This window comes from Homo sapiens, chromosome X (genome assembly GCF_000001405.40).
Source record: "Homo sapiens chromosome X, GRCh38.p14 Primary Assembly".
NCBI classification, from domain to species: Eukaryota; Metazoa; Chordata; class Mammalia; order Primates; family Hominidae; genus Homo; species Homo sapiens.
Window position 1 is genome coordinate 34932627 of NC_000023.11, and position 13702 is coordinate 34946328.

The following is a 13702-nucleotide window of genomic DNA, read 5'->3' on the forward strand; positions in this document are numbered from 1 at the left end:
CTTTTCTAACAAAAAGCAGCCTGAAGTATCAAGCTTCAAGTATAGATAAGCAAGCTAAATGCTTGCAGAGGTAAATGCTGGCCACTGTGCCAATAGAAAAAAAATACCTGGAAGCCAGGTATATTCAACACGGAGGTTCCCTCTTTCCTTTTCTTTGTCAACCATCTGTGCAGTAAAGAGGCAGGCAGCATGACACCAGGCAGGTAGAGAAACAATTTGCATAATAAAATATTAGGGTGGAGCAGCCAGCTTCTTTGCACGCTATGTAAATGGTACACCTGGTCCAACCAATCTTTTGGGCCCTATGTAAATCAGACACTGCCTCTTCAAGCTTGTCTATGAAACCCCATGCATTTCACCACAGAACTGGAAGCCCCACTCAGGAGTCCCTGTCTCTCTGCAGGAGAGAATTCTCTTTTCTCTTTTCTTTCGCCTGTTAAACCTCCGCTCGTAAGCTCACTTGTCGTGTGTCCACGTCTTCGATGTCCTTGGTGTGAGGTGACAAACCTCAGGTATTTACCCCAGACAGCAATGCTGCCTCACTGCCACCACTGCTGCTGTGACCACCAGCATAGAGGCAGGGACCCCAGAACCCACTAGCACCATGCTGTCTTGCCACACTGCTGCTGCTGCTGGCACATGTGAATGAGCATGAGTCTCACTGCCACTGCCCTACAAAGTGCTTTGACTGGCACCACCCAATGAAGCACTCAGCGCCTTCATTGCAGCAGGTCCCTAACATCAAGAAGCCAAAGAACAAAGCTGGGGCTCAGTAACATTTCCTCATAGTTAGAGCACACAATCCAGAAACCTGAGCTGAGTCTTGCCACCTAAAATCTTACAGAAACAAAGCTAGTCGACTGAACCCACCTTATCCCACATCCAAATCCCCAGGGTCATCAAATAGCCTAAAACAAACAAAAAACACCCAAGGAACAGCAACTTTAAAGATTGAGAGAACATCAGCCCACAAAAATTAGAAGAAACCCGTGCAAGAACTCTGACAACTCAAAAAGCCAGATGGTCTTATTTCCACCAATCAACCACACTAGTTGTCCAGCAAGGGTTCTTAACTAGGTTGAAATGGCTGAAATGACAGAAACAGAATTCAGAATATGGGTAGAAATAATCAAGATTCAGGAGAATGCTGAAACCCAATCAAAGAAAGCCAGGAATCACAATAGAGCAATACAGGAGCAAACAGACAAAATAGCTAGTATAGAAAAAATGTAACTGACTGATAGAGCTTAAAAACACACTATAAAAATTACAAAATGGAATTGCAAGAATTAGCAGCAGAATAGACCAAGCTGGGGAATCTCAGAGCTTGAAGACAGGCTTATTGAAACAAGACAGACAACAATAAAGAAAAAAAAATGAAAAGGAACAAACAAAACCTAAGAGAAATATAGGATATGTAAAAAGACCAAGTGTATGACACAATTTCCTCTCTGAAAGAGATGGAGAGAATGGAAGCAACTTGGAAAACATATTTCAGGATATCATCCATGAGAACATCTTCAACCTAGCTAAAGAGACCAACATTCAAATACAGGAAACGCACAGAACCCCCATAAGATACTTCACCAGAAGACCATACCTAAGACAAATAATAATCAGATTCTCCAAGGTCGAAATGAAAAAAAAAAAACGTTGGCCCGAGGCCGTGGCTCACGCCTGTAATCCCAGCACTTTGGGAGGCCGAGGCAGGCGGATCACAAGGTCAGGAGATCGAGACCAGCCTGGCCAACCTGGTGAAACCCTGTCTCTACTAAAACTACAAAAATTGGCCAGGAATGGTGGCACATGCCTGTAGTCCTAGCTACTCAGGAGGCTGAGGCAGGAGAATCGCTGGAACCCAGGAGATGGAGGTTGTGGTGAGCCGAGATCGTACCACTGCACTCCAGCCTGGGCAACAGAGTGAGACTCTGTCTTAAAAAAAAAAAAAAAAAAAAAGGAAAAAATGTTAAAAGCAGCTAGAGAGAAATAACAGGTCACCTACAAAGGGAACCTCATCACATCAGTGGCAGAACTCTTAGGAGAAACCCTTCATGTTGGAAAATACTGGGGGACCTATATTAAACATATCGAAAGAAAAAAATTCCAACCAAGAATTTCCTATCTGGCCAAACTAAGCTTCATAAGCAAAGCAAAATAAGAGCCTTTTCAGAGAAATAAATGCTGAAGGAATTTATTTCCATGAGACTTGCCAAACAAGAGCTCCTGAAATAAGCACTGAATATAAAAAGGAAAGACTGTTACTGCGTTAGTCCATTCTCACACTGCTAATAAAGACATACCTGAGACTGGGCAATTTATTAAGGAAAGAAGTTTCATTGACTCACAGTTCAGCATCGCTGGGGAGGCTTTAGGAAACTTACAATCATTGCAGAAGGGGAAGCAAACACGTCCTTTTCCACATAATGGCAGGAAGGAGAAGTGCAGAGTGAAAGGGGGCAAAGCCCCTTATAAAACCATCAGATCTCATGAGAACTCACTCACTATCATAAGAACAGCATGGAGGAATGCTCCCATGATCTAATCACCTCCCATCAGGTCCCTTCCCCAACACGTGGGGATTACAATTCAGATTACATTTCAAAATGAGATTTGAGTGGGGAACGCAGAGCCAGACCATATCAGTTAGCATCCACTAGAAAAACACACATACACAGACAAAGGACACTATAAAGTGACCGCACAAACAAGACTGCATAATAACCGGCTAACATCCTGATGACAGAATCAAATCCACACATACCAATATTAACCTTAAGTGCAAATGGGTTAAATGCAGCAATTAAATTAAATCCAATTAAAATCTCAGAGTGACAAGCTGGATAAAGAAGAAAGACCCAGTAGAACGTGGTCTTCAACAGACTCATCTCTCATAGGCTCGAAATAAAGGGATGGAAAAAAATCTACCAAGCAAATGGAAAACACAAAAAAGCAGAGGTTGCAGTCCTAATTTTAGAAAAAAAAATAGATTTAAACTGACAAAGATCATAAAAGAGAAAGAAGGACATGAAATGAAGAGAAAGAAGGACATGAATTGAAAGGTTCGATTCAACAAGAAGTCCTGACTACCCTAAATATATATGCAACTAGCACAGGAACACCCAGATTCACAAAGCAAGTTCTTAGAGACCTACAAAGAGATTTAGTCTACCACACAATAATAGTTGGAGATTTCAACACCCCACTGACAGCATTAGATAGATCACTGAGGCAGAAAATTAACCAAGGTATTCAGGACCTAAACTCAACCCTGGGACAAGTGGACATGATAGACATCTACATAACTCTCCATTCTGATCCAATATACTATATGTTCTTTTTATCTACACATGGCACATGGTCTAAAATCAACCACACAATCTGACATAAAACAATCCTGATCAAATGCAAATGAACCACAATCATATTAACCACTATTTTATGCCACAGCACAATTAAAATAGAAATCAAGACTGAGAAAGTACCTTAAAACCATACACTTAAATATAAATTAACAAACCTGCTACCAAATAACTTTGGGGTAAATAATGAAAATAAAGCAGACATTAATACGTTTTTTCAAAACTAATGAGAACAAAATACAACATACCAGAATCTCTGGGACACAGCTAAGGCAGTGTTAAGAGGGAAATTTGTAGTATTAAATGCCCACATGAAAAAATTAGAAAGATATCCATTTATCAACCTAACATCACACCTAAAAGAAGTAGACAAGAAAGAGCAAGTCAAACTCAAAGCTAGCAATAGACAAGAAATAACCAAAATCAGCTGACCTGAAAGAGATCGAGACATGAAAAGCTATTTATGGTGTCAACACATCGAGGAGGCTTTTTTTTTGGAAAATTAATAAGATAGACTTATTGGTAGACAAATACAGAGAAAAAAAGAGAAGATCCAAATAAACACAATTAAAAATGAGAAAGGGGATGTTACCATTGGCCCCACAGAAATATCAAAGAGAAAAAAAAATAGAGACAACCGTGAACACCTCTATGCACTCAAGCTCAAAAAGCTAGAAGATACCTGAATGAATTCCTGGACACATACACCCTCCCAAGACTGAACCAAAAAGAAATTGAATTCTTGCACGAACCAATAATGAGTTGTGAAATTGAATCAGTAATAAATAGCCCAACAACCAAAAAAAGCCCAGGACCAGACTGATTCACAGCCAAAGTCTACTAGATGTACTAAAAGGAGCTGGCACCATTTCCATACAAACTATTCTGAAAAATTGAAGAGGGACTCCTCCCCAACCCATTCTATGAGGCCAGCATCATCCTAATACCAAAACCTGGACACAACAACAAAAAAAACTTCAGGCCAGTATCCTTGATGAGCACTGACGCAAAAACCCTCAACCAAATGCTAGCAAACCGAATCCAGCAGCACATAGAAAAGCTCATCCACCATGATAAAGTTGGATTTATCACTGGGATGCAAGATTGGTTTAAGATACAAAAATCAACAACTGTGATTCATAAGCAGAACTAATGACAAGAACCACATGATTATCTCAATAGACGCAGAAAAGGCTTTCGGTAAAATTCGACACCCCTTTATGTTAAAAACTCCCAATAAACTAGGTATTGAAGAAACATACCTCAAAGTAATAAGAGCAATCTATGACAAACCCACAGCCAACATCACATTGAATAGTCAAAAGCTGGATGCATTTTCCTTGAAAACTGACACAAAGCAAGGATCCCCTCTCTCACCACTCCAATTCAACATAATATTGGAAATTCTGGCCAGAGCATTAAGACTCAAGTACTTACTTCAATATCCTAGAGAAATGAGTCATTAATCCAATCAAAATGTGGGAAATCTCGATACTTATTTATTCATACTTCTGAGAAGACAATATCATGCCTTATGGCTCAGAGTTATGTGGTTTCTGAGGTTCTCCACACAGAAGGTAAACTTAGCAAGAGCTAATAAAAGCAAAACAATTACAAAGTCGATTGGATCAGAGTGAACGTCATTCGGCTTCTGTAAAAGGCTGGCAGGTGCTGCGTGTGGATACGAGAGGCAGCAAGATTTCAGATAACATGAGTCTGCTGGAGAATAAAAATGGTGTCCTGAGTTAAGGTAAAGTTCGTAGAGCAGTCAGAGGCACACAAAAATGTCAAAACTGGGACTACTTAGGCTCCGTTAAATCAACGCACTTCATCACATTGATTTTCATTGTTTATTCTCATTCCCTTGTTTACTTATTCATTACATGCTGCTCCACTCAGAGCATTTTTGACTTGCTTGAACATTTCTTTATTAGCTTGTTGGTGCTGGTTTTGCTTGTCAGCTACACTATTCATTTCTGGAATAACACTTTATACTAAGGCAGTTGGTGCTTCTTGACTGAACAGGCCAGTTGTAATTTCTCTGCACTCTATAGTGATGTCAGTTTTCTTCAACCCAAGAAGGACTATTTGCACAAGTAAGATGCTTTCACTCCTAGTTGTTTTTTTACTGCCAGTCAGGTACTCACCAAATTTCGTATCTTCTTTACTCTTCTATCATGACATCATTATCCCGTGGGATCCCAGTTATGCACATGTTATCTAAGTGAATTATTTTGTCCACAGGCTCTGCTATCTGATTTTTACATTCCCATCTAGCACTTGCTGAAATTTAATTTTCTTCAAATTTGGTGACTTTGGATAATACTATTACCACTGTGGTTTTTAAACTCTTTGAAAGTCTTTGGGGCCTATAAAAGGCACAGGGCTTTACAAAAGTAATTCTCACATATTGGTGTGTACAATTTAAAGACCATGTGAAATGTAGATGACTGGCTCCACTTTGAAAAAATTATGATTTACTATATATGGGGTGAGGGGGGCCACAATTATGCATTTTAAAGAAGCTACAGCTTTCTCTCCTGTGTGATTAATAGTGATTTGTTGATAATCCATCATGATGCAATACATAGTTTAAAATGGAAGCCTTCTATTTTAGAATAATTTTAGATTTATGAAACAGTTGCAAACACTGTACAAAGCATTTTCATGGACATTTCACTCAGCTTCCCCTAAAATTAATATCTTACATTGTACATGCATTTAAACTAAAAAATTAACATTAACATATTACTATTAACTAAACTTCAGACTATATTCGGATTTATAGATTTTTATACCCATGTCCTTTTTTAGTGCCAGGATCCAACCCAGCCTACCACATGGAATTTAGTTTTCATGTCTCTTTAATCTAAAGTCTGTAACTGGTTCTCAGCCTTTACTTGTTTCCCATGACCTTTATGGTTTTGAGGAGTACTTGAGAATTTTGTAAAATGTCCCTGGACTTGGGTTTGTTAGATGTTTTCTCCTCATTAGGCTAGGATTCTGGAATTTAGGGAAGAACACTACAGAGGTGAAGTGTTTTTCTCATCACATCCTATCAGAGGAGCACATGATACCAACGTGACTTCTCACTGCTGATATTGGATCATTTGGTTAACGAGAGGACTGCCAGGCTTCTCTCCTAAAATGTTACTATTTTTCCCTTTCCATATTCTGTTTTTTAGAATCCAGCCCACACTCTGGGGAGGGCATTTAAATTTCACCTGCTGGAGGGAGGAGTATCTATGTACATTTTTTGAAATTCTTTGTAAGAAAGACTTTTACCTTTCTCCTCATTTATTTATTTGTACAATTATTTATATCAGTATGGACTCATGAATATTTTATTTTATACTGTGTTATAATTTTTAAATTTTAATTCATTTTGTTGCTTAAATTGTTTTAACTTTGGCCATCGAGTGCTCTTTCAGTGTGGCTCCTGATCTGCTTTTATTCTTTTGTTTTCTGAGCACTTCTGTATTTTCTGGCATTACATAATACTCCAGGCTCATCTTGTGTTTTCACTGCCCCAGGCCTAGAATTACTCATTTCTCCAAGGATGTCTGTTTTTTGTTTTGCATTTGTTATTTTGGAGAATGGTATTTAGAAACCAAGATCTGGGCACTGGAGGTACCTGTTGCTAATTGGGTGTCATTTTTTTCTAGTTTCTCAGCAGACAGAGCTATAAAATATATGCATGTATACTAACCAATATGTATACACATCTATAATTATTTCTTTAGCTATTAATCTCTGTACATGTTAAACCACTATATATTATAAACTTTTTTGTGTTCTTTGTTTTCTTATTGTTAAGTTTTAAGATTTATTTATGTATTCTGGATATGTGTCTTTTGTATAATATTCTACTTTGAAAAGTGAAAAAAATAAAGTGGCTGTAAGGTACAAAAACTGTTTAAATGAACAGTCACCTGAAAATTTTTGAAGATATCCAGTTGATCTTTAAGAGCTTCAATGTGTGTTTTTCTGTGGGATTATTTAGAATATAGAAGTTTTATTCAAACCTTCACCCATTTTAGATAAGTGAGTACTCATATGAGCTTGCTAGTTAGAGTACTGTTATAGAGAATTGGTGAAGCATTGGCTCTTGAATTTAACACACAGTCCATGGAATTTTTCTAAGTAAGAAAGTTAAAAATAAATCCATATCAAATTTGGTCTTACCAACTTCACATTATGAAATCTACTAAATATCTTGAGACTTTAACATAGATTCTTATAATCGATAAATGAAAATATTTGTGATATATAAATGTATGATGTTTGTTTTTCCTTTATTTAGACACTGAATGTAGAATATTTTTATTTCCAAATTGTAGTAATACTATATAAAATAACAATATTTTACTGGATGCTTATTCTGTTCCAGACCCTATACAAAATCATGTTATATAGATTATCTTGATTTACACATAAACCATTTATTTGCTTTAATGAGAAACCTAAAAGAATATATATTGCGTCTATTTTGCAGAGGAGGAACCAAAGAGAAGAGAGGCGTTGATCATGCTTCATTTACAAGGAGGAACTAGGGTATACCTGCTAGTAATGGTAGAAAACATTGTTCAGCTGCACCTCACAAGGGAAGTCAGAAACCTTCTTTTCAAAAATGAGTAAGAATGTACAGGAAAAATTATTATGTGATGAGAAAGTGATATGCATAAGGAACAATGCAGGCTGAATTTGTCTATAATTAAAATTTTTTATAAAAATGCTTTTTCATAGGTATTGTTTTAAGCACCATAAGAGAGATAAAAATTTAACTGATATTATTCAAAGGAAAATCAAAAATTACGACTGGACTGGGGGGTATAAAGATACTGAGATTGGAAAGGAAGACAGGAAATTGTCTTGTGTGTGTGTGTGTGTGTATGTGTGTGTTTGTTTTTGACGGAGTCTCGCTCTGTCGCCAGGCTGGAGTGCAGTGGCGCGATCTCGGCTCACTGCAATCTCCGCCTCCCGGGTTCAAGTGATTCTCCTGCTTCAGCCTCCCTAGTAGCTGCGACTACAGGCACGCGCCACCATGACCAGCTAATTTTTGTATTTTTAGTAGAAACGGAGTTTCACCATGTAGGTCAGGCTGGTCTCAAGCTCCTCACCTTGAGATCCGCCTTCCTCGGCCTCCAAAAGTGCTGGGATTACAGGCGTGAGCCACTGCACCTGGCCTCAAACTGTCTTTATTCACAGATGACATTATCATAAATATAGAAAATTCAGTGAAATCTACAAAATGCTCCTGAACATAATAAGTGAGTTTACCAAGGTTGTATGATACAAGATGGATATACAAAACTCAATATTTATATATGCTAACAACAAAAAATTGGAAATTGCAATTAAAAAACAATACTACAGGCCGGGCGCGGTGGCTCATGCCTGTAATCCCAGCACTTTGGGAGGCCGAGGTGGGTGGATCACGAGGTCAGGAGATCGAGACCATCTTGGCTAACACGGTGAAACCCCGTCTCTACTAAAAATACAAAAAGTCAGCAGGGCGCGGTGGCGGGTGCCTGTAATCCCAGCTACTGGGGAGGCTGAGGCAGGAGAATGGCATGAACCCGGGAGGCGGAGCTTGCAGTGGGCCAAGATAGCGCCACTGCAGTCTGGCCTGGGCGAAAGAGCGAGACTCCGTCTCTTAAAAAAAAACAAAAAAAAACAAAACAAAACAAAAAAAAACTACATATAATAGTATGAAAAACAATATTTAGGGAAAATCTGGAGAGAAAAAGATTTGAAAGACACATACACTAAAAAATAAAAAATATTCCCGAGAAAATGAAAAATCACATAAACAAATGGAAAGATGACCTTCCTCAGTGGTCAGAACATTTCATATTGGTAATATGCCAATTATCCTCAAATTGATCTATAGATTCAACAGAATCCTAATCAAAATCCAAACAGGACTTTTTCTAAGACATAGACAAGCAGATTTTAAAATTTCTATAGAAATTCAAAGGACCTAGAAGAACCAACTTTGTAAAAGAACATTGTTAAAGAATTAGTACAGCCTAATTTCTAGATTTATTATAAAGCTAGAGTAACCAAGATAGTGTGAAATTTGTGTGAGAGAAAAATCAATGGAAGAGAAAACAGTGCCCAGAAATTGACCTTCAAATAGACAACTGATACTCTACCAATTTCCGAATGTAATTCAGTGGAGAAAAGATTGTCTTTATAAAAATAGTTCTGAAATTATCAGATATGCGTAAGCAATAGGTACATTTTTAAAATAAAAACTTTGATCTATATCTTGTGCTGTTTACAAAAATTATAGCATTTAAATGAAAAAAATCTTTGTGACCTTTGGATAGGCAAAGTTTTTCATAGATACATCAAAAGAAGCACAATCCGTAAAAGAACAAATTGATAAATTGGACTTCATCAAATTAAAAAACTTCTCTTTGACACAGACAATGAAAGAGCAAAGCCAAGGATGAAGTGAAAAATTTGCAAATCATGCATCTGATAACCTATTTACATCTAGAACACAGCAAGGATTCTCAAAACTAAATATGATATCCAGCAACACAATTTAAAAATGGGGGGAAAATCCACAGAAACTTCAACCAAGGGGAGATAAGGATGGCAAATAAGCAAATATAGAGATGTTCAATATCAGTAGTCATTAGGAAACGCAAATGAAACCCAGAATGAGATTCTACTACACACCTGTTAGAATCCGGGCTGCGCAGGTGGCGTCAGCGCTGCCCCACCTCCAGGAAGGAACCTGGGCTGCGTGTGGCTGGCGGTCTCCTAGCGACTAGAGCGGCAGGGATCTGGAACCTCAGAAGCTGGAGAGGTGGCACAACAGAGAGGGCCACCATGGGGGACCGGAGGCCACAGGACCGGCCAAGGTCCCAAGGCATGGACTCCAAGCCCTGGTACTGTGACAAACCGCCTTCCAAGTACTTCGCGAAGCGCAAGCACAGGCGCCTGAGGTTCCCGCCTGTGGACACCCAGAACTGGGTATTTGTGACGGAGGGCATGGACGACTTCCGCTACGCCTGTCAGTCTCCTGAAGATACGCTTGTTTGTCGCCGTGACGAGTTTTTACTCCCCAAAATATCTCTCAGAGGTCCCCAAGCTGACCGCAAAAGCAGGAAGAAAAAGCTGCTCAAGAAAGCGGCCCTATTTTCCGAGCTCTCGCCAGTACAGCCAGCACGGAAGGCGTTCGTAGAGGAAGTGGAAGCCCAGCTGATGACCAAGCATCCCTTGGCCATGTACCCCAATCTGGGAAAAGATATGCCTCCAGATCTCCTACTACAGGTGCTGAAACAGCTGGATCCCGAGAGGAAGCTGGAGGACGCTTGGGCTCGTTGTGAGGCCCGGGAGAAGACAACCGAGGTACCCACCGAGTCTGGTAAATATCCCTGTGGGGAATCCTGCCCGCGGCCTCCCGAGACTCCGGTGTCCCGTCTCCGTCCTCAGCTTCCCAAGACTCCGGTGTCCAGTCGCCGCCCAGAGCCTCCCAAGACTCGGGTGTCCAGTCTCCGCCCAGAGCCTCCCAAGACTCGGGTGTCCAGTCTCCACCCGGAACCTCCAGAGACTCGCGCATCTCATCTCCGCGTGGATCCTCCCGAGACTGGAGTGTCCCATCTCTGCCCAGAGCCTCCCAAGACTCTGGTGTCCAGTGTCCACCCAGAGCCTCCTGATACTGGAGCGTCCCATCTCTGCCCGGAGCCTCCCGAGACTCGCGTATCTCATCTCCACCCGGAGCCTCCTGAGACTGGAGTGTCCCATCTCCGCCCAGAGCCTTCCAAGACTCAGGTGTCCAGTCTCTGCCCGGAGCCTCCCGAGGCTGGAGTGTCCCATCTCTGCCTGGAACCTCCCAACACTCATCGGGTGTCCAGTTTCCTACTACAGGTGCTGAAACTGGATTCTGAGAAGAAGCTGGAAGACGCACGGGCTCGTTGTGAGGGCCAGGAGATGACAACCGAGGAACTCACCAAGCCTGGTAAATACCATTTTTGGGAATCCTGTCCGCGGCCTTTTGAGAGTCGGATGCCCCATCTCCGCCTGGTGCTTCCCATAACTCGTCGAATGGCCAGTCTCTGCCTGAAGCCTCCCAAGACTCGTCGGGTGTCCAGTCTCTGCCCGGAGCCTACCAAGACCGGAGCGTCCCATCTAAAAGAACTGTTTCAGGAAGATACACCAAGCACAATGGAGTGTGTTTCTGACTCTCTTCAACGTAGACACACATCGAGAAAACTCCGTGACTTCAAGTGGGCTGGAGACCTAGGAGTTAATGAAGAATCCATCAGCAGTCTGTTTGACTTTACCCCTGAGTGCAGAACAACCGATCAAGACCAAAAGATTAAGAAGGCAAACGAGTGTGCTTCAAGGCTGATGTACGGCATGGAGCTAGACGACATGGATGAGGTCGAATTCTTACGGATAAAATACTGGGACAGGAGACGCCGGGCGGCACCGCATTCTTATAGTGCACAGCGTGGGAGGATAAGGTATGGACCATGGTACTTCGAGCCTAAGTTGGGGAAAAAGCTAAGAAGTGATGAACCTTTGATTGACCCCAAGCCCGTACTTGAAAAGCCTGATGAACCCGACATTCTTGACGGTCTTTATGGACCAATTGCCTTTAAGGATTTCATTCTAAGCAAGGGCTACAGAATGCCTGGCGTCATTGAAAAGCTGTTTGCCAAGAAGGGATGGACTTACGACTCTGTTAAGACTCCTATTCAACGTGCAGTGCAAGTTTACAAGTACAAAGAAGACGTCACAGATGCATCAAAAGAAGATTAGATGGTTTTCAATTTACTGCTTAATTGGGTATTTCTTGCTCTCATTCTAAACATCAATCAGAATTTATGATGACTGGCCCCGTGAATGTACAACTTTGGCAACATCTGTAAATTCAATACCCAATGCTTATAAATATGTCTTAATGACCTGCTTTGGCCTCATTATTTCATATATTTTATCAATTATGTGATTTATATTCACATATACTTTTTTCACATTGTTGAAGCATTGTGAATATTACATCATCCTTTCAATTATTTGTAAAAATACATACAACCAGAAACAAAAGCAGAATTAATATTAGAAAGAGAAGTGGGGTCGGGTGCGTTGACTCACATCTGTAATCCCTCCCCACTTTGGGAGGCCCAGGTGGGTGCATTGCTTAAGCCCAGGAGTTCAAGACCAGCCTGGGAAACATGGTGAAACCTGGTCTCTACAAAGGGCAAAATTTAGCCAGGCATGGTGGCGTGCACGTGTAGTCCCAGCTACCTGGGGGGCTGAGGTGGGAGGATGGCTTCGTGCCACCGCACTGCAGTCTGGGGGACAGAGCAAGACCCTGTCTCAAAAAAAAAATGTGCTGAGTAAAAGAAGAATTATATAACTCTTCTTATATGAAAATTTAATGAAATAATTATAACAATTATTTTGTTAACCAAAAATTGGAGTCTATAGCCAAAATAATGTTAACACTTTTTAATAGTAAAATTATTATCTTCCCTTTTAGGATTCCATCAAACCCCCAAAACAAGTTTGAAAACTATGTATCAAAATCATAGGTGAAACTTGAGTTACGCCATTTTATCATCTCTCTCAATTGAATGTATATAACTATTCACCATGTTCATAAACATTCACTACAAAAGACTATTACCAAATCGTATAAACAGGTGCAGAATAGGAGGCAGCTTCAACTCCCTGGCAAATCTCATGTGCAAAATAGATCTGTATGAGAAAAGTAACATCAAATATCCTTACATATCTGTTCAAGTTCAAATAATTTTCATTTCATTAATAGCAATTTGAAATGCATTCATAAGTTTAAAATAATAAATCAAGCAACTGCTTTACCTTTCAAAAATAGCAGGTAAAACTGGTATAGGTAAATTTGTAGGTAAATATATTTGTAGTGTAGATCTGAAGTGCACTTTTTCTTTCGGAGATGAAAGAATCCATCTGTAAATGGACGTATATGCATATATTTCATCCAAGTAAGCAGTGATATATATATCTGTCTATGTGCAAATTCTGTTTCTAGTGAAGTTTGTGTGTGGGCATTGTGTTCCTGAAGAACCAAGTCTTTTTTGTGTTGTTTTCTAAGCCAAGGCCTAGAATTTCTCTTCAAACTCATCATCATAAACTTAGGTTCATGTCACCACTATCTCTTTTTGCAATTCTGCAATGGTTTCCAACCTGTGTCTCCTCTTGAGTGTATTTTTGCAAAATATAAGCACGGCTTGTTAATTCTCCAGGCTCATCTAAACTTATCTAGGTACATAAACACTCACACACACATGCACACACACACACACACGCACATGCTCCTGCATTCCAGACTCCAG

The 13702-nt window shown here is 40.2% G+C and overlaps 1 protein-coding gene across 1 annotated transcript; it reads left to right on the forward strand.

The window, feature by feature from the left end:
- FAM47B (family with sequence similarity 47 member B) lies at positions 10170-12289 on the forward strand. Its single transcript, NM_152631.3, has one exon. The coding sequence runs from the start codon at positions 10206-10208 to the stop codon at positions 12141-12143; it is 1938 nt and encodes a 645-aa protein (NP_689844.2). The 5' UTR covers positions 10170-10205; the 3' UTR covers positions 12144-12289.

Coding starts and splice junctions, on each gene's coding strand:
- FAM47B (NM_152631.3), top strand. CDS start 10,206: ATGGGGGACCGGAGGCCACAGGACCGGCCAAGGTCCCAAGGCATGGAC.